The sequence below is a fragment of the Homo sapiens genome, chromosome 2 (genome assembly GCF_000001405.40).
Source record: "Homo sapiens chromosome 2, GRCh38.p14 Primary Assembly".
Classification (NCBI taxonomy): domain Eukaryota; kingdom Metazoa; phylum Chordata; class Mammalia; order Primates; family Hominidae; genus Homo; species Homo sapiens.
Genome location: NC_000002.12, coordinates 50,984,158 through 51,006,932, shown reverse-complemented (window position 1 = coordinate 51,006,932; position 22,775 = coordinate 50,984,158). Strand labels below are relative to the sequence as shown.

General features: G+C 34.7%; 1 protein-coding gene across 19 annotated transcripts in view, besides 1 other annotated feature; it reads left to right on the top strand.

The window, feature by feature from the left end:
- Positions 1–22,775, top strand: part of NRXN1 (neurexin 1) — a 1,113,630-nt gene that overhangs the window by 25,200 nt on the left and 1,065,655 nt on the right. The gene's annotated exons all lie outside the window — the stretch shown is intronic.
- Positions 5,633–6,166: an enhancer, noted in NCBI's record as "OCT4-NANOG hESC enhancer chr2:51227905-51228438 (GRCh37/hg19 assembly coordinates)". NCBI's record gives its function as "activates a minimal SCP1, AML or CMV promoter by ChIP-STARR-seq in naive H9 embryonic stem cells {active_cell/tissue: H9 hESC(naive)}" and the evidence as "EXISTENCE:reporter gene assay evidence [ECO:0000049][PMID:30033119]".

The following is a 22,775-nucleotide window of genomic DNA, read 5'->3' as shown; positions in this document are numbered from 1 at the left end:
AGTGATGAACAGTAATGATAGGGCACAAGCAACTCAGATTTGGGAGGTAGAGGAGGCTTCCTAGAGGATAAGACAGCTAAGGCGAAACTTGAATATGAATAGGAATTAGAGCTAAGGGAACATAGGGAGAAGAGGGTAGAGCAAGCAAAAAGACACTTACTCATTTGAAGAACTACAAATAACTTAGAATTTGTAGTGCACAGAGGCAAGATGTTGAAAAGTGGTTAAACAGGCTGGAAACTAAGCTTTGTAAACCTTGTAACTATATTAAGGGGCAAGGAGCTTACCTTTTGAGTATGTGGTGTACTTAGAAAAATAGAGAGTAACAGAAGGTTATTATAAGACTATAGTTGCTCAAATGGTAGGTCTTTTTTTTTAAATTTTATTATTATACTTTAAGTTTTAGGGTACATGTGCACAACGTGCAGGTTTGTTACATATACATACATGTGCCACGTTGGTGTGCTGCACCCATTAACTTGTCATTTAGCATTAGGTATATATCCTAATGCTATCCCTCCCCCCTTCCCCCACCCCACAACAGTCCCCGGTATGTGATGTTCCCCTTCCTGTGTCCATGTGTTCTCATTGTTCAATTCCCACCTATGAGTGAGAACATGCTGTGTTTGGTTTTTTGTCCTTGCGATAGTTTACTGAGAATGATGGTTTCCAGCTTCATCCATGTCCCTACAAAGGACATGAACTCATCATTTTTTATGGCTGCATAGGTAGGTCTTAAATGGAAAGGAAATTGGAAATAAATAGCTGCGGACCCACGTGAGACAACTACACAGGTTCTTATAAGAAATGTCAATGACTGGCAATAGATTTATACACGTTTTGAAGATTGCTAGCTTCTATCATACCGAGAAATCCAAGAAAAAATGTAGATTTGTCTCTTTTTACAGCTTTTGACCTAAAGTCTGTTTTGTCTGATGTAAGTATGACTGCCCCTGCTTGCTTTTGGTTTTTATTTGCCTGAAATATCTTTTGTCTTCTCTTCACTTTCAGTCTATGTGTGTATTTGCAGATAAGATGGGTTTCTTGTAGGCAACATATATTTGGGTCATTTTTGTTTTAATCCACTCAGCCAGTCTGTATCTTTTCAAGGGGGAATTAAATCCATTTAGATTGAAGGTTACTACTGATAGGTGGAGATTTATTCCTGTAATTTTACTGATTGTTTTATGGTTATTTTGTATTTCCTTTGTTCTTTACTTCCTCTCTTATGGTTTATTTTTGCAATTGGGTGATTCTCTATAGTGATAAGATTTTATTCCTTTTTCTTTCTCCTTTGTGTATTGACACTACCAGTGAGTTTTATAGTCTTGCATGTTTTCATGTTGGTAATTATTGTCTTTTCACTTCCATATGTGAGACTTTCTTAAACATTTCTTGCAAGGCCATTCTCATGGTGATGAATCCCCTTATTTCTTGCTTATCTGTTAAATATTTTATTTCTTTTTCATTTTTGAAGGATAGCTTTTCTGTGTGTAATACTGAATGTTCCCAGCACAAAGAAATGATAAGGTTTGAACTGATGGATATGCTGATCACATTGAGCTCATCATTGTACATAAAACATATAGAAATATCAGTATATATCTCATAAGTATTTGCAATTATTATATGTCAATTCAAAAATGAGTTTAAAAATGTGTAGATTTTTTTCTTGGGAAGTAAGAATAGGCATTATAACTGAGTAATCAGGGTAAAGGTAAACTAATTGTCAACTTGGAATAAAGAAGATGAGGAATAAAAGAGGGAGAGTTACCAGAGGAATATCCAGAGAAAGATGTAGGTTATAGATCCAGTTAAAAGAGTAATCAGAGGAAATCAAGAGTTGCAGAAACAAAGAAATCACAAGAAAAATGTGACTATTTTAAAAAATAGCTAGATACAGGTGTGTATCTATATGTAGTAGATATGTATGTAGATATAGGCATGCATATTATAGTGACTATCCAGTATGTTCCATCTTATGCGGTAAGGTTCATTCATTAAGTTTTACTATAGTCTAAAATTAATATTTCTTAGGACTTTTTTCATTCCTTTGATCTATTTCAGTGCTTACTAAGCACACTTTTCTTTCTATTTCAAACTTAGCAGTAACCTTGGCACAAGAAAATTCTCCTCTAGATGGAGAAGTGGTCTCCCAGTACTGGGCATTCCCCTCCTTGAAAAATAATACATTTGCATAACATTTATAGGTGAGAGGGAAAATACCAGAATCATACCCCCGAGTCCCTTTTGAGCAAATGTTTGTTTATTTGTTTATTTATTTATTTTTGAGACGGAGTCTTGGTGTGTCGTCCAGGCAGGACTGTAGTGACATGATCTCGGCTCACTGCATCCTCTGCCTCCCAGGTTCAAGCGATTCTCCTGTCTCAGCCTCCTACAAATGCTTATTTATAAAACCACGTACTTTAAAGTTACTTCCATAAAGCCTAGTTTTCTGAAATGGTCATAACTTTTTAATTATTCATTTTTTTCTGTGTAATAAAATTTCAGCTAGGCTGATGACTTATCCAAACAAAATATTGTCAAAAGGGAGAAATAAGGGAATGAGAAGTAACCAAAAACAGAAATGGCACTTACTGAAAGCAAATACTTTATGTATTGGCTGCTATAACTGTTTTAGGCTCTGCACATTTTCTTTATTTTCTCACCCAGAATCTGTTTATTCAGGTTGCCCTTTGTCATGAATTTAAAATTTTATTCATGGCAGGTGTGTGAGCAGTAGTTTGCTTAGTATCTGTCCAGCATCTGTGAAAGGGTTGGCTAGACCCCAAACTTGGGGTTGTTAGTTCACCTCCGGAAACCTGGATATATGGTTCAATGTCTTCTAAGTTTTTTTTTTTTTCCCCCACCACCACACAAGCAAACAACAACAACAATAACAAAAAACAGGAAGTGAGGGTACATCCAGGATAAAGAGCGAAGGCATTCTGGGAGGAAAGGGATTAGTAAAACCGGTTTTCTGCAGGTCTATGAAAAGAGAGCCTTAATGTGCTAAAAAGATGACAGTTAAAATGGTAAGTAGAAAATAATCAGTATCAGCCAGGGCAACTTTATTCACAAGCTGAAACTTCAGAGTAGTGGTGATTCATTTCTGTAACTCACTTCTTGTTTGGTAACAGTTTAAAATGCAATTAGTCAACTTTTCCTTCCTCCCCCTCTCCTTTGCTTCCTTCTTTGTCCTTCCTTGTGGCAGAAATATGTTACTATTGTGTGTACAAGCAGGATATATTGTCATATGTACCAGGAGTCAGAGGCAAATAAGCTACATACATGTAGTGCATCTAGTTTATCTGATTATCTTTTGCCCAGTCTGCCTTTTTTCAATTAGAATTTCTTTCATGTCTTACACAGTTACTCCAAATTCCATGTGGAAGTAGACTACAACTAAATAAATCAAATTTTTAGATAGGATATTTTGATGATTAAATGTGATATTAATTTTTGGAAAGGAGGTTTCAATAAAAGGTTTAATAGGCACCATAATTTATCTCTAGTCATTTCTTCTCATCCTGGAATATTTAGTAATTAGAATCGTATGTGAAAATGACCTGAAACAATGCTCTCAATGTTGTATATTCCTTACGTTCGTTTTTATTATGCTACAGGGTAAATAAGTGAATGTATTTCAGTTAGAAATCTCTCATTACTTTATTGGTGCCCCTAACTGGTCCACTGGTTGATAACAATAATTTTACTTTGATAAATCATTATTATTTAGGAATCAGTAGTTCCTCCAAGACTTTCTATGCTTATTTGTTTTTGTTACCTTATGAGGGCTGCATAGAAGATGCTCAAATGAGTAGAATTTTAGGATATTCTTGGATAGTAATAAGTTAAGTGTTTCCTCCTATTTCTCCTCCTTTTTCAAGATCATTAAATTCACCAGTTCTTTCAGTTGGAAGAGTCTGTCCATAAATGCTTGAACATAGAATTAATTTGTCATAAGCTCAGGAAGAATATATGAAGAAATGAAAATACCTTTGAAAATGTTTAAATTACTTAATCCATAGAATTTTAGAGTTAGAAGAAATCTTAAAGAGTATCTACTGCAGCCACTTCTTATTAGAGATGAACAGAGAAAGAAAACAGTTTGAAAAAGTCACCCTATTAGTTTCATAGCCAGGACAAGAACACAGCCACCATATAATTTCCGTCATTCCATTTTTAAGTAGCAAAGAAAATAACACTTCAAAAATTGTATTTTGTCATCTTGCATGTATGATGTAATATTTCTGATGATGTGTCTCCTTTTGTTTTCATTCGGTTATATTTACAGAGAATTTTTTCCCTTGCCTGTCCTGATGGGGGAACTTCCTTCCTAGGTACATAGAGGATACTTTCAGACTCATAACTAAGCTCTTTATATGCACTGGAAAATAAATGTGTGTTTCTTACGGAAAGTCATTTTAACAAATTCATTATTATATGAATCGTTTTGTGTTTTGGAACACAGAAGCAATGGTACACTATAGCAAATAAATCAAAACTCTCACAATATTGAATAAGATTCTGTTTTCTACGAAAGCATGTCATTTGATGAAGAGAGCACTTTCCTAGAAACACAACATTTTATTAGTGCTTCTGGTTGTGTCATAAAGTAGTTTTTAGTGTATTGTGTCAGAGAACACTTAGGAAATATCTTTATAGGAGGGGAAAAATACCTTTCCCTCACCCATTCTGGGTTCATGGTTGAAGTTCCTATAACAAAATAGCTAATAAACAAGAGAAAAGCATACAAGGTATTTCATATACGTTTTACTTGACATGGAGGCCTTTGTAAGGAAGTGAAGACCTGAAAAAATAGTTAAACCTGTGTATTTTGTGCTAGGTTTGATGAAGAGTGGACAGTTGTACAAAAGTATGAATGGACAAATTTGGTATGATTTAATTGTAATAAATTAGGGAAACTTATCAGGGTGTTTGTTTAGATTCTTCTGTGTGACCCTTCTTCAGAGACAAGGATGTTCCTTTCCTCCCAATATAGGGAGGGTATCTTTCACCTGAATATCTTATGACCTGCTTCAGGAGAAGGTCAGAAAATCTTTCCTATGTTTTGTGATGTGCTTCAGGAGTGAAAGGCAGAAGAGGATGAGAGTGACCTTCCTGCTTCTGCAGTTTTCAGCATGCCAAACTGTTATATTTGGGGATATTATATCCTGAACCCCATCATCAAACTAAAATTTTATTTTTCCTATCAAGAATGAAATGAGACAGTTGCTGATATTTTTTAAAATAGCGTGAATTGTGGGAATTTTATTTTTTATAATGTTTACTGTGCCTACATTTTAATAAAATGAAATTCAAATGCTCTGTCTGAGAGTATTATTTTAAAAGGTGGAAAAATGTATGCTTAATTGATCTCCCTTTAGGGGAGCTCAGTAAAACTGGTGTAGGAGATCAAAGCCTAAGTGATTCATTTATTACAATTTTAATAAATGTGTGGATCTTTTTTTTAAGTACAGTATAGTGCAATAATGAAATTAACTTTGCAGATAAAAGACTTGCAGATGCACTTTTATCAAATTGCTGTTTTGGAAAGGCACCAACAAACTGATGTTCTGAGTACGATTTTTTGCTCTGGCTTGCTTTTGAACTCTTGCTTAATAAAATTCTAGAAACACAATTGCCTTTTCTAGGAAAATGACTTGTCCTCCCCTGACAAACGCCCCCCCCCCCCAACCCCATGAATCTACCATTGTACGTATGTGGTTGGAACCATATGGAGGCAGTAAACTCGATTTGAGCTTTACTGTGTTTACTACACAAAGCATTCCATTCAGGCCTGAAGATATGCTAAAACAAAACACAAAAATCTATTCATTCACCAAATGGGGAAAGGCATTCTAATTCTCTTTAGCCTTCACCACACTTTCCTATGTTCTTTTGTTGTAAGCTCTTACATCCTTACAAGTCTCAACTCCAGCGCTTTATGCCCTACTTTCAAATTATAATTTGTTCCTGGTCTGACAAGGGTCAGAAACCAGGCATGTGTCTGACATGGAAACAGAAAAGTGGAGGAGTAGTTAAGTAGTGTTCACTCTATATTTTCTGTGTCATTTCTCATCTTTTGTAAATGATCTTCATGTATAGGTTTTAATTTTTATTGGAAATTAACAAAGCAGATTATTAATTTTAAAATATTAATTTACGGAATTAAGGTATATTGTTCCCCAAAATATTTCATTTGTAATATTAAAATTAAAGAAATTGAGAAATTAAAAAAAATCAAAACATCTGTCTCTGTTATTTCTACTTCTTCACTTTTTAAATCCTCTGCTAGTCATCTAATCCTCAATCATGAGCCCTGTTTCCTAAATTATTTTATCTCTTTCCAAAAATTGTTTCATTATTTTTTACCTGTTTTTTTTGGTAATAGTAATAATATTAGCAATTTCATATAAGAATCAAATGAAATAATCCATTATTTCAAAAAATGTGTTCTTGGATTTTGCTACATGGTTAGTACTGTTATAGGTGCTGAGGATAGAGCCTTGTATAGTGGAAGCCCTGTTTGTATGGATATATTCAGGTGGGAAGGCAGATAATAAAGAAATCAATAGGAGTGTTATGTATAATGTAATTGATGTTCAGAAAATGGCAAGCTCTATAAAGAAAATTTAAGCAGGATAAGGACATAGAGAATGGATAAGGGCGGTTACTATTTCAGCGAGGGTGAACACATTCAGTCTTCTGAGAAGCTGACATTTGAGCAAACACAACAAAGAAACATGCAGCTCTGAGCGAGAATACTCCATGTGAGTGAAACAGGCCTGAAGTGGAGGTGTGCTTGAAAACCCCAGTGGGAGCCTGGAGTAGTTGAACACACTGAGCAAAGCAGAGATTGAGAGATAGATGGGCACGGTAATTGAAGGCCAGATTTTATAGAACTTGACAGACCACAACATGAACTTCCTATTTTATTCTAAATTCAACAGAAAATCATTTGTATTTGAAAAGTATCTGAAAAATAGGAATATGATTCTGTTTCATTCGTCATAGAGAGAATAGCTTACAGATGCACAAGAGAGGCAGTAGAGTAACCTTTGTATGACCAGATGTGATGATGGACTAGGGTGGTAGTGGAGGAAATGGGAAAACTGGTTAATGTTAGCACATACTTTGAATGCAAAGCTGGCAGGATTTAATGATGGTTTTACCATAGAGTGGAAATGGAAGAAAAGAGTCAGAGATGGCTCCAAAATGTTTGACCTGAGTTACTGGGTGGCTGGAGAGGTCATTCCCTATCAGTCGAAATTCACCCCCGATATTTCACGTAGGTTCTTTTCTATTTTCCCTAAGTGTCAGCTGGTCTGAGAAATAAAGGGACAGAGTACAAAAGAGAGAAATTTTAAAGCTGGGTGCCTGGGGGAGACATCACATGTCAGCAACAATTCCCTGAAAAGAGGAACTATGGGGGAGTACCTGGAATTGTGCTTGTCACATAGAAGATGTGCAAGAAGTGTTGCTCCTTTTCCCTTTTACTCCTCCCTAATCTTTCAGCCCCATATAAACACCTTCATTCCTGATTATTTGCCTTTCTAAACTAAGCTTGGAGAAAGGAGGGGCCATACCTGTTAAGCATACTGTGGAGTATCCACCTTGTACAGTGCATAATAGGAACTTAGGAAATATTTATTGAACAAATAAATGGATAAGTGAGAGTCACTACAGTGGGCCACAAAATGATAAAATAACATGGATTAATGAATTATCTAGCTAAAGAGGTATCTGCTTTTCTTTGTCAACTCTTAGGTACCATGTTAACAAATTGCATAGAGGATAAATACTAGTTATGGACAGGCATGCTGGAGAAATGCTTAGTCTTCTTCAGGTAAAAGCACTTGGAAGTATACCATGTGACAAAAATTAAGCCAGTCTTTAACAAGATACGAAGTATCTTAGTTTTAGTTTTAATTTGACACAGAGACCTTGCTATAATTGGCAGTTCAAACATATTTTTGTATCCACTTGTTGAATACTTAATGTATTTCAACAACTGTATCTGACATTGGGCTAATTGAATCTCATTCATCCATTTCTATATTAATTTTAAAAAACATTTATCAAGTTTATACTGTACTATATGTGCAAAACAAGAATTTGAAAGGATTCACATTATTGTGGTGGGTGTATGTGTTGTACCAAAATTTATAAAATACTTTGAAATATCAATAATTGACTGACAAAAGATTAAAATGTTTCTGTCATCAATACCATTTTACTGTAGATTTATATTCTAATCCTAACATTAATAGTTTTTTAATGGAGCATTTAAATATGTGTCATATTCTAAACACTCTACATGCATACCTTCATGAAATCATATGCTTAATAGGATTTCTGTATGTTGTGTCCACCCAAAGTTCCTTTTTGAAGACCTAATAGAATCAAATAGGATAAGGGGTGAGTGTGATCCGTTCTTTGAAATATTAAAACAATATGATTTGCGAATATACAAATGCAAATCATTTTGGCACTTCCATTAATGTAAAAGGCAGTTTGAATGTGAAAGACTTTCCTTGGGTGCTACACAAGAAATGGCTTCTGTATTTCAATACCCTATATGCAGTGACATTCTACTTAGTACAGGAGGTCTTAATTGTGGACACAGTTGCAAAATATGTGATATTACTATATTCTGTATGCATGTGTTTTGTGAGTAATTTTTTTAACATATCAGTATTGTCTCTGATAAACTTATTGAAGTTTTGGGTTTGTATAGCTGAGTTAAAATGTTAGTACTGTATTGTAGTTAATGGCCAGGATTAAATAAGGAAGATATGAAGTAACACAAAACTTGTCAGAAAACCTGGAAAGACTCTGGTGTAAACAGCCATTGGTCTGTCGTCATCTTGCTGCTGTTGACATTGACCCTATTTCTATTTCCCAGACTAAATTTGGCTTCTCTGGAGGGTACACTTCCTCTAGTCCTCCCTTTTTATTTCTTATCTAAACATTCGGAACTCATCATGGCACTTCAAAATATAAATACCTACCAGTGTATCATCAATCCACATTATATTTAAGGAAGAGTGTTTATTATGTGTTGGCCTTCAGAAGCATTGCTCCAATTGTTCCAAATTAAATTGTCTAAATGAAAATGTGGCTGATGTGATGGCTCACTCTTGTAATCCCAGCATTTTGGGAAGTGGAGGCGGGAGGATTGCTTAAGGCCCAGAGTTCCAGACCAGCTGGGCAACATAGCAAAAACCGTCTCCAGATAATTTTTTTTTTTAATTACCTGGGTGTGGTAGTGTGCACCTGTAGTCATAGCTACTCAGGAAGCTGAGGCAGGAGGATGGCTTGAGCCCAGGAATTTCAGATTACCATGCTGTATGATCATGCCACTGCACTCCAGCCTAGGGCACAGAGTGAGAGCCTGTCTATAAAATAAATAAAATAAAATGTTTTCCCCTTCAAATATTTAAAAGTTGGAGCTATTTCCTTTGGAAAATTTTAATCAAAAAATTTTAAAAACCTGCATATTTAAAGAAATTGTGATTAATTTCTATGCAGAGTATCTTTTTTTGTTTGTTTGTTTGTTTTCAAATATGGTCTTACTCTGTTGCCCAGGCTGGAGTGCAATGGCAGCTGGGACTACAGGTGCATACCACTGCACTTGGCTAATTTTTCTATTTTTTGTAGAGATGGGGTTTTGCCGTGTTGCCCAGGCTGGTCTCAAACTCCTGGGCTCAAGTGGAGCAATACTTCTGAAGGCCAAGACATAATAAACACACTTCCTTAAATATAATGTGGATTGATTACACACTGGTAGCCTCCAGCTCAGCCTCCCAAAGTGCTTGGATCACAGGCATGAGCCACTGTGCCTGGACCCAAACTTAATCATTTAATTCCAGTGCCTTCTTGCAGTTTTTTAAACTCCAGGATCCATTGAAAAAAAAGTAAAAATTGTCATTGACTCATATTTCTCCTTACGTGAAACCTATGGCGTCAAACAATAACAAAGAGGGATTCCACCACTGTGTGAGCCCACTCATGTGGGCTGTGGAATGATTACTCCCCCCTCACGAGTTTGATGAAACCTACGCCATGTGAAGAATCCTAATGTAAAGGGAATTGGTGAAAGATGGTTTTTAACTTTCCATCTTCTACAATAGTAGAAGATGATATAGAAGGAGGTTAGAGTGGCTGTTGACTGAGTCCTAGCTCAGCCAATTTTCTAGTTTTCTGCATTTGAATAAGTCTAACCTACTTATCTCCCCCATTTATGTAATATGGAGGTTTCCCTGGTGGAAGTCTAAGCTTTTCGTCTTGTAGCTCTAGAATCCTGAAGGTATTGACTTGGTGAAGGGCAGAAGCCAGGTACATGCAGATCTGGGATGTCAACTCAAGATTTCTGGGTTTCATTCCAGGGCTCCTTTCTATTATCACTGCTGTCTTTGACACTAATTAAATATGTGAGAAATAAATATGTAGTTCTATGAAAATATAAATACATACATACATGTAAAAGTTAAGCTGGTTTAAACTGGCCTTGTGCTTACTCTAAATGATAAAGCTTGTTTGACAAGGGAAGGTAAACCCATCATTTCTTACCTTAACCCCAGCACCAGTTTCTATCTGAGCTATTCCTGGAAGCAGATATGAGATGATAATCTCATTCAAGCGAATATACTTTAAGCATGATACGTACACCTTTGTGGCATTGTGCCACAAAAATACGGATTAAAATAATTACCACCTCCCTTCTCACTTCCCAAAACCAGCAAACTGCCCATTTAACATCTTTTGAGAAATTCTGAGATTGATTTATTTCCTGTCTTAATTTTAGTCATGGGAGCTCAGTATTTTCCAACATATCTCCTTGCAGAACCTGCTCACTCTTCATTATCAAAGTCATAGATATTCCACGTAGGCAAGACTTTTCCCCTCCATAATATCCTCATTGACCAACATTTGGACTTTGAAAATGATAACCTATGTAAATACTTAGCCATTAAAATCATCTGAACTTTTTACAAAGCTAAAAGTTATTATCTTTAAGATCCCTCCCTACCCTGAGAGAGTACACCAGAAAGACAGCTGGAGATTAAAGCATGCAGGGATTTAAAGCAGTGGAGGCCTTTGCTTAGTCACACAAGAATTATTGCTGTGAATCTCTGAGCTGCCTTGCTCGGCGTAAAGCCAAGACTTGTCTCCAGTTGCATTTATCCATGACTGAAAGAGAAACTACTAGATGGGGTGCTATTTATTTAAAGTTCACTGACACCTTCCAAGATTGTCCCATCTTCAAATACAGTACCCTGAGGTCTAGGATCCTCTGAGCTCTTTTTTTTTTTTTTTTTTTTGACAGAGTCTAGCTCTGTCACCCAGGCTGGAGTACAGTGGCACACTCTTGGCTCACTGCAACCTCTGCCTCCCAGGTTCATGCGATTTTCCTGCCTCAGGCTCCACAGTAGTTGGGACTACAGGTGTGCACTGCCACACCAGGATAATTTTTGTATTTGTTGTGTAGATATATTTGTATTGTTTTGTCCTGTTGGACAGGCTGGTCTCAAACTCCTGACCTAGGTGATCCACCCACCTCGGCCTCACAAAGTGCTGGGATTACAGGTGTGAGCCACTGCGTTTGGTCCTCTGAGTTCCTGTCTTTTCTCTGCCACTAATTTGTGGTTTGACCTCGGGTTGTCCCAACTACTCTCTGTGTCTCAGTGTCCTCATCTGGAAAACTATAAGGCGTAACTTAATGACCTCTAACATCCTTTTCAGCTTGGCAGTTCATTATGTCTCAGTTTAGGCCCCTTCTCAGCCCCTAAAGCAATGCAGTTCTCTCTGAAATTAATAATAAGCAACATATTGGTTGATAATTTAGGCCTCAGTGTAAATACATTAATATGTATTTCTTTTCTAAAATGATCTTTTATATTCAATGTTATTACCCTATATTTCTCTTAAACTGAGAACAGACACTTTAAGCGTCAGTGATTTTAGTATTTAAAACTGAAAATCATATTGAGAATGAATTGTGAAGAAAATAGTTTTTTTTAAAAAAACAGTGTAATTGCATCACCGTTTGTATGTGTTTACTAAGTAAGGTTCAGGTTATTTTGTATCCTGTGCTTGCTGTACCTTTCAGGAAGTTAATTTTGCAGTTGTTGTTCTTGTATATAATTTAAAATCCTATTTTGAATTTATGCTTTTTAAAAAACTCAGATGTGTGTACTACATGTGTAATTTATATTATCTATAACTTTAGTAATTATCTGTTAATATTTATTGAACATTTTCTGGATGCATTACACAGAACTAATGCATTCTCTGGTAGTGAACTGCATTTAAATTAGAAATTCTCCTTATGGAAGAGGAAGTTTAAAAATCAATTCTCTGATTATGATGAGGTTTTCTTTAGACTAGATATAAACCTAGATCCTTGGCATGTACATTCTGTTCTGCCTCTCTGGCTATGTTCTTCTCTTGTCAAAACAAAAGTCGTGATAATATAGGGACTTATGCAAAGCTGAATGCTTTTGACTAGGTGATTAAGTATAATTGGAAAACTTGAGGATAAGTTATCTCCCTATTTAAGTCTGTATTTTTTCTTTTAATAAGTGTATTCCTTGAAAAATGCAAGGTGAGATATAATGGAAATGTAGCCTTGATGGAGGTTATTAAATTTAGAGAGAGAGAGAGTGTGTGTGTGTGAGATTGTTTATTAATGAAACTTAGTACTTAATTGTACAGACTCTAAGATCACACCACCTGGGATCAACTCTATAAGACTGATTGGATTATTTAACTTCTCTAAGGCTCAGTATTCTCATCTGTGAATAGAGACAATGACAATCCCTATCTTGAAAGAATGTGGTGAATGATAAATATGGAAGATTTAGAACCATGTCTGGCACAGAGAACATGGTAAACAAAATCTAAAATCTTAGGTTTTGTCGGTGTGTATTTTGGGAATGGAAGTGAGTGTTCTGGAAAGATGAATTAGAATAGTCAATGTAGGAAAATAGAAAGTAGTTGAAGGTTAAAATACATGCCGGTTAAAGAACATAAATTTGCAAAGTGCTCTGGGTTCCCCTTTTCAGCATAATCATCAACCTTTCCTCTTACCAAGGAATAGCTTAGATAAAGAATAGGGAAAGGATGTTCTCCATGTGATTTTTGTAGTGAAGAATCCTATGTAAATAGTGTGTGGAGAAGCTTTCTGTGGATAGCAACATGGCCTGCTATATGGATTATATTTATTATACGGAATCTAAAATTTTATTAGCATTCCACTTACATGGCATTTTACCAGAAATGAAAAATATTTTAGCATGAGCTGTTGGTGTCCTCGCAACTTTTAAAGTGGGGCTGACAAAGAATTTGGATGATAGTCTGAGAATTAAAAAGAATCATAGCAAGTTGGAGAATTACACCCTAATTAATTGTATAAAGGTAGATTGCAACCAAGTGTCAGGCAGTGACTAAAGAAGGGAAAGGGTGAATGGCTGAGTTAATAGAAACATAAAAGAAAAATATCTGAGAATCAAAGGGAACCTAAAACAGAAGATAAATAAAAAAGTACTATAATTTTCAGTTCACGAAAAATCTTTGGGGCAGTATGGCACACTGAGACTAGCCCTAGGCTAACTATATAAATGTGCATACAGTATAAATTATTTCGGTCTCCATTCTCATTTTGTAAAATGAAAGACTTAGATTATCGTCTATTAATGATATCTTCCAATATAAATATTGAATGACTACCTTCTCTCATAGACAATATATAATTGTTTTCTCCTATAACAATCATTTACCTTTCTCTCGTGTAATAGAACTTACTCCTAATACATGTATGCTTCAAATAATTCCCTGTTGATATATTTGTGATTATTCTACTCTTTGTATGTCCTTGTATTTAGATTTCTTGCATACGTTATTTCACAAGTCACTAGAGATGGCTTAGTCCATAGCTTTTGGTGATTAAAAAATATAGTCATTCTGCAAATTTATGCACTTGGTAAAATCTGCTTTATATTGCTGTACCTATAGACTTGTCAGTAACTTCCAAAGATATGTAGTTGCATTGAACACCATATGTTATATTGACCCATCAGTCTCTACCAATAATCCATCCTTTTTATAATTGTCTGCATAAACTATTCTCTCCCCATGCATCACTAAAGAAACATGAATCGTTTCCAGGCCATGTGAAAAAAAGAGTGACAGTAAGAAAACAAACGGAGTTGCTCCTAGATGAGTACACCAAATACAAAAGGAATCGGAGAGGCAAAGTATATTGCATTTCTTTCTCATTAAACCAGCTTCCTGATTTTCATTATACCTTCTTAATCCTCAAAAGGCCCTCCCTGATTTCTTTCAGGTCCTGCCAACAGCTTATTGTCATAATAGGTAGTGTTCTGTCTACAAAGAACTGTGCTTTTTATAAGCACTAAACCTATTTTGGAGCCCTCAAATTCACTGATCTACCAGCTGATAATTTCTATTATATGCCTACTGTGTGCTAATGATGAGGGTGTTAGCCTTTCAAAGTTCTATCTTGCATAATTTAATAAAAGGTTTGAGGGTAGAATATTTACATTCAAATATTTTCTGCTGTTTGCTACCTGTATGACCTTGGACAAGGTTATTTAACTTCTATAATCCTCAGTTTGTCTTCTATAAAATGTGGGTAATGCTCATATCTACTTTACTAGTTAAGGAATAAAAGAGAACACATGCAAAATTTATACTAAATAAACTCATTATTGCTAGTTCTGTTAGCTAGTTAGAACTGACTAGCTTTTGGAGGAGACCTTTATGAATAGAAAACAGCCAGGTTTATTCTTCTCTCTCTCTTTCTGTCTCTGAATTTATTTCATGGCAGATTGGACAGAAACTGGGTGGCTTCTAAAGTTTTATATTATCCCCTCTCGGATTGAGTCTTAGGCTTTTAGACGAAAAGATTCATATGTACACACTGTTGATCCAGACCTTTCTTTTATAGCTTTATGATATAAATAGATAAAATGCTTAGAAAATAATGGCGGAAATTCCAGAGCAGTTGCCACATGGGGAAGCATTTCTAATGGGATCTTTTATTGAAACTGAAGTTATGAGAATGGAGTTAACAATAAAAAGCTTGTATTGCATCGTTGCCTTTTAATAGCTTGTATTGTAAAAGCTGTTTTTTATCTCAGAAGAACGTGCTCCTTGAATCGCGTTCCCAAGATATTAGATAATCTGTTTTCTGGAAATTTAGTACATGATGTCAGACTATTTTCTGGTTCTATTTTCCATGTTTTTCTCCTTCAAGTGCAAAGGCCTCATTGACAAATGCAAAGTGTGCTTACAATGAGGATAGATGGGTGAATGACAACTATAGAGACTAGTCAAAGCACTAGTATAGGAGTGAAAATATATGGAAAGGCAACCTGAACTGTTGAGCATTTATTCAGAAGCTATTGCAGTAGGACCATAGTTGAGTAGATTATCAGGATTATATACTAGAAAGCTGGCTGGCTTGGGCTTCTTGCTAAAACCAGCTCTCCATCATCACAAGCATCCATTTTGATGAGGTACTACTGCAGTTGGATCTTTCTTTTCCACCTTAGGTATAATTTATTTAGGAGGTCACCTTTGCAGAAAATTGGGGGTATGGAAGACCACAAAGAACATCACATCCACCTTATTTTTTAAAATGTGGATATTTTGGTTTGTCTTATTATAATATTCATTAGATGTGTGAGCTAAGAACTGCTTTCTCCATTTCAGAATAGACAAAGGAAACACAAAAAAGCTTAACAGCTTATTCAGGACAACAAAGAAATGACAGACCTGCCATTTATTTGAGGGAAAAAGCTAAGTCTGTCTCATTTACTACTGTATTCCTAGTTCCTAGCATGGCACACAGAGCAGATGCTGAAAGAGTTATTTGCTGAATGAATGAATGAATACATTAAAGAAAGAGTAAATAAACAAATGAATAATGTCAGATCCAGAACATAGGCCCAGGTCTATTGGATGCTCCCAAAGTGCTTGTTTTCCTTTTATTCTTTGCTCTGTCTGTTGTTACTTATCCCAGAGAGGAAGGCTAAGATTTGAGAAATGGCGAGGTCTCCACCTGGGAAAGCTTTTTTAGTGCAGCACTACGACACTTCAGCTCCTTGGCCAGCATGTGAGCCATGGATCTGGGAAACAGCTCCTGGGAGAAAAGGAAACTCAGCAAGACGTTGTCTTGTTGAGTTGGGAGAACAAAAATCATACTCCTGTTTAATAGGACTCGAGGATGAATGTAGGCCCAAACCCAAACTGGAAAAGTATTAAGAATGGAGAGAAGAGAGAAGAGAAACTAAAGTCTATGTCTACACCTGATGACAGAACCAAAAACTGTGTCACTAAGGTTCCCCTCTGTACTCTTCAGAGCAACATGTTTATGTAAGTGTTTCTTCCCTAGAGAATAAGCTATGTGGCAAAGAAATTCAAAAGAGCGCTTGAACTGTTAACTATGCATAGTCTTCTCTTTTGGAAAGTAGATAAGAAAAGTGTAATGAGCTAAAAGCTTTGAAAAACATATGACCATAATATTTCATTGACATTTATAAAGGGAAAAATAATGTGAAGTAGTAATTTAAGTAAGTTTTTACCTTCTTAAAAATTGATTTTTTTAGCACTGGGCTTCAAAGGTGCATTTGAGAAATAAAAGGAAAACTCAAGAGATAGAAGAAAATGTTTGCAAATTGATATTGAATAATACATGCCTATCCTAAATACACAAACACCCTTACAATTCAATGATAAGTTAATGAACACAATGTAAAAAAGATCAAAATATTTTAGCAGACAGTTCCCTACAGAAGATATATGGAAGGCAAAAGATGCTCAACATCATTAGTCATTAGTAAACATAAATTAAAGTCACAATGAGCTACCACAACACCTTTATTAGAATGGCTAATTTTTTAAAAAAATGACAATATCAAGTACTGGCAAGTATGTAGAGCAAGCAACTAAAAATCTCATGCATTGCTGGTGTGAATGAGAAATGATAAAGTTGTTTTGGGAAAACCATTAAACCATTTGACAGGTTCTGATAAAGTCTAACATACTACCAAGCAATGCTACTCCTACATATTAGCAAAGACAAGTGAAAACGTAAGTCCTTTTCTCTACATCCATACCAGAAATCAAAACCTGTACCTAACGTTTAGAGTGGTTTTATTTATAATTGATAAATTTTAGAAACCACCCAAATTCCCATCAATTGCTTAGTGGATAGACAGACTGGGGTACATCCATGCAATTTATGTATTCAACAGTAAGAAGAACAAAATACGAATACAGGCAACAACATGGCTGAATCTCATATGGTTTTCACTAAGGGCAAGAAACCAACTCAGAAGTCTACATGCTATATCATTCTATTATTATGGTATTCTGGAAAACACAAAACTACAGGGACAGAAAACAATTGCTGATTGCTAAATGCCTGGGTTGTAGGGGCAAGGGTGAACAGAGTTGGAAATTATTTATACCTTGATTGTATTGGTGGTTATCTGACTGTAAGTGTTTGTCAAGATTCATATAATTACCCACTTATAAGGGTAATTTTTTGCTGTATGTAAATTATATCTCATAAATAACTTTAACAATTGTATTCTCACTCAAATATTGAATGTAGTCATAGTAATGAGATGAACACATGTATTTCATTCTTATATAAGAACAAAATCTGCTTATTTTACTGTCATTAGTAAATTCTTGGAGACATTAAAACAAAACCTTCATAAATTTCAAAATATTCTGTTACTATGTTGTTTATTTCTCACTGATTATCCCTCCAATTGGGATAAATTTGCCAATTTAGAATATCTAAAAACAGTGAATCAAAGCAAAAGAAGAAAAATATCTCTCAGGACGCAAGTTCCTGGATTTTTTTTAAAAAAGAAAAATAGGGGAAAATATGGGGGGAAAAAGTGGGAAAGGCAGAAAATAAATAAATTGAAAGACAAGGAGAGAAGTTGTCATAAAGCAGAGGTAAAGGCAGGAGTCCGTGATCTCACTTGATCTCCCCAACCACCTAGTAGAGTAGATACTGTTGTTATTCCTATTTTGCATAAAGGAAAACTGAAGTTTTAGGCAGGGTGCATAATTTAGGCACCCTCATACAGCTAATAAACTGGGGAAAAACCATTTGAAGCTTAGGTACAGCAGCTGCTAACGCCTGTGTTCTCTGCATGGAGCATTAGGGTAAATACTCTGCTATATCAATGAGTTATCTCGGTTGTTTTATCTCAGTTATCTCAAGGAATTATATCTCAGTACAACACATGGTTGCATTGATTTAGATACCCTAAGGGTAATAAGAATTTAAACAGGAGAGGGGATTTAGAGCTGTTAACCTCTTCCTTGTTTGGTCTAGGGCTAGCTCACCTTGACAGTCATTTACGGATGGATTGTCTCCTTGGTTAGAACCTTTAGACAGCATTCTCGTTTGATTTTCCAAACAAAATTGGCATTCTTATTTGTCCAAACAAAACTGTCTAGTTTGTCATAGTAGTAAAAGCCATGAAGCCATACTGTTCACTTCATCACAAGTCCCTTTTTGGGGAAAAAATAAATGTAAATGGTTTGCATCTAAAGTCTATATTATTTCAAGGTGAGTACTTTACTAGATGAGTTAATAAATAATGACTAAGACCTTAAAAAGAAAATGATCTGGTTTATGCCACAGGAATAGTCATTGATTTGGCAGGATAAACTCTAAGGAGCGCCGACAAGACTCATGTGGTAAATTAGGCCTGACTTATTTTTGTCAGCTGAACATTGGAGTTATCACTGACCCTTATGGAAGAATCTGTATCTTATTAAAGCACTGTTGCATCAGAACTATCCCAGTTCCCTGAATAGACCTGAGTAGTGTATGAACATTTCAATAGCAGCTATCCGGATTTAGACTTATGGATTTTCTGAATTGAATAGAATATAGTGAACCTGGCCTAAAAAATTAATCCATTTTGATTTTTTGCAAAAGACACTTGCTGAGGATCATTGGAATAACGTCCAAAAAAGTAATTCTGTGTTTCGTAGTGTTCCTTTTCTGCAGCTGCTACAAACTGGACAGGGACCAATGGGGGTTAGTGGTCTCTGGTGTGAATAGCTCTACTTAGCTATCCATTAATCTCCAAAGAGATGTCCAGATTCCAAGTTATTATTGATTCATGGACAAGCTCTTTCAACCTAACAGACAGTATATGTTCCAAAATAACACAGAACATATGCATCCTTTATTAGAAGCTGCCTTAAGTGTATTCATACAAAGTGAATGTAGAGTGGGAGGTTGTTATACTTTAGTGGTCATGAAGCGCTGATTTGAGGCCTTTTTCTTGGTAAGATTCTGATTTCCTAAATAAACTTTAGACACACACAGATGTAATAACCCATTTATTATTTTGTTCTAAGTTTGTAACAGGATCTTCTAGGAGCATTAATTGTTCAAAATATGTCACCACAAATTCCAATTCCAGAATGTGGGAAAAAGAGCATACATTTCCCAAATCATATGTTAATCTGGCCTGACTCTATGTAATAGCAGAGTGAATATCTAGAAGAAGAAAATGAGGACCATGGCTTCAACATCATCCAGATTTGTGGGGTGCAATCTTTATTTTATTGTTAATACTTTTTTATTTTATATTGAATTATTGTACTAACTTAAATAGAAAATCTTTAAAATTGGATAGTAAGTTGTTTATTTACTAATAAGTAGTCAACATATGAAGAACTATTAAAACCTCAAATTATGACAAATAAAATGAATGTTAAGACTGACAGTGAAAAAAATGAGTTTTTGTTTTTTAAAAGTTTTCTCCTCTTGTTTAATTTGTATAACTGAATGCCTTTAGTTGTAGAAGTCACATAAGTGCATTTTTATTGTAAAAGATGAATAGCATATAGAAATGTATTGTGAAATGGAAAAGAGTCCTCCATTCCTACTGCTTTCTCATTATCCTCTACAAAGTAAAGCACTATTAAGATTTCAGGGTGCTGTTTTTCAATTTTACTTTCTGTACATTTACGCATATATACATATATATCTATGTCAATTGTGTTTATTTTAAACAAATAGAATTATCTAATAAGCATTTTTTCTGTGAGTTGCTTTTTTCCATTCCTATGTTTTGGATATTTGATAGCACTATCTCGATTTTTTGGAAAAAAAATATGAATATTTGGCAATTATATTTATAAAAAAGCTTATATGCTAATAAAAAGTTTAAAAAAGACCTAGATATTTTTACAGATATGTAGTTTGCATAAGGGCAAAATCGATATATGAGTGGAAGGAGAAATGGAAAATATAAATGAAAAACTTTTTAAAATTTATTAGATATTTTTCTCACTATGTTAATGTTTAGTATTCACAATGTAACAACACATGAAATATTCAGTGTTTTCAAAAAAAAATCTGCGCAGTATTTTCTGGCATAGAAGATGATGTATTTACTGATTCCTTGTTGGTAAATATTTAGGTTGTTTCAATGTTTTTTACTATAAAAAATAATGTTGCAGTGGATATTCTGTATATGTTTGTCCATATTTAACTCACACATGGATACATTTATTCATCTACGAATATTTTTTATTTATAAAAATGAAATTCCCAAGAGCAAACTACTGCCAATTTACGTTACAAGAGTCTCTCCTAATTTATATTTGCATTACCAGTATATAAAGCTTCTGTTTTAATTCTCCTCACCACGACTTAATATTACTATGTTTTGCTTGCCCCAGTCTCATGGAGAGAGAATTATGTTGCTGTTTTAATTTCCATTATGGAAATGAAAGTTAACTGTATGTTAAGTTAACTTTAATTATATTAATCTATATTAATCTTTATTAACTCTATTAATACAGAGTTACTGGGGAGATGGGAAGTCATTAAATATATTTATTGGTCACTTTTGTTCATTTTCTCTGTAATTTCTCTGTAGTGTTTTTCTGTTTATATCCCTGCTCATTTTTTCTTTGAGAGTTGTAGAATCTTTTTATATAATCTAGCTATTGACATTTTGTAAGTCATATATGGGACAAATATGTTTATCAGCCATTATATAGTCTTTTTAAACATTTTTATCTTTCCTCATTTTGAAGTTTTGTTTTCATTTCATTTTTTTATATGGGTAAATGTATCAGTCTTTTCCTTCATGCCTTTGAACTGTATTTCTTGCTTAGCACAGCCTCCCATATCTCAATTCTCCTGTATTTTCAATTAACATTTTTGATTTGTTTATGTTTATCTTTTTATTTGACTATTTCTCATTCTCCATTATCTTCTTCCTTGGATCCTTTTTTCCTTATTATTGTAGTACATTTCAGTTAATTCTTTCAGAGTGGTTTCATTGATATTAATATTTCTGAGTTCTTGTAGATCTTAAAACATTGTATTTTTCATTCTACTTGATGTTGGATTGCTTGAGTAAAACATTCTAGATTCAGAATTTTCTGCTTGAAGCCATCTCTCCATACTCTTCTATTAACCGACGTTGAAGATAAGTCTGATTCCGTTATGGTTTTTCTTCTAATATAGGTAATTTTTATTCCCATTTCTCAGTAAGTTCTCAGTGAAAATTTTTCTTTTAGTGGAAATTGGCATAGCTCTTTTAAAGTGGTGATCCTTTTTAAATGTATAGTAATCATTAGTTTTTTGCTTAACCTTGTTTGAGAATACCTATCATGGATGTTGGTGATATTTACTATTATACTACCAAACCTACAGCATTTTTGTCCATGTGAATTTTAGTCTGTGGTAATCTACAGATTTACTTCACACATTTTTTTTCCTGTATGTTTTATATTTTTAAGATAGCCCTCAAAATCTGTCATTTGTTTTCTAGCACTCTTCTGGATCTTAAAAAGTATATATTCTGTCTTTTCATGGAATTAGAGCAGAAAGGAAAACTAACAAATGTTGAATCTGCAATTTTGGTCCAATCTCCCAGTAACTATTTGGTGAAATTTAACTGACAGTGTTATGTAACTAAAAGAGTTCTAGATCTATAAAGTATTTGCAGAGATAATTTTTTTTAGATCTAAATAAAATTTGGGGTAAATACAAACTAATTACTCTTTAAGCGGTTTCTCTATTCACATTCCCTTTGTCACTGACTTGATTTGTTAACATCTATTAAAGAAGCCTCTTTCTTCATAACTACATTTTGGCTAAAAAAGGGCACAACTCTGGTGCCCTTATCCATATTAAAGATACAGGGCAATATACTTTTCACTTTTAATACAGACTGTTTGATTCAGATTTGATGAAGAGGAAAACACATTTTAAGTATTTTGGAAATATTAATCCCTTTCTATCCCAGATATAGCCTTCAGCCTATAGGACTCAGGAAGAAAAGTCAAAATTATTTCTTTTTTTAGTTCCCTTCTCTGGAAATCTAATACCCTGTATATAGTAGGCACATATATTAGGCAAAGGGTCTGTACTGTAAAATGGAGATTGGCAAACTTTTTCGGTAATGGACCACATAAATATTTTAGGCTTTGCTGGCCGCATACACTCTTCGTTATATATTCTTCTTTTTGTTTTATTTATTAAAAAGAGAAACCTTTTTCTAATTCTTAGATAGAGAGTCATACAAAAACAGGACTGGGCAGCCTAATACAGAGAACACTCTGGTGGCTCATGCCTGTAATCCCAACACTTTGGGAGGCCGACGTGGGTGGATCACCTGAGGTCAGGAGTTTGAGACCAGCCTAGCCAACATGGTGAAACCCCATCTCTACTAAAAAAA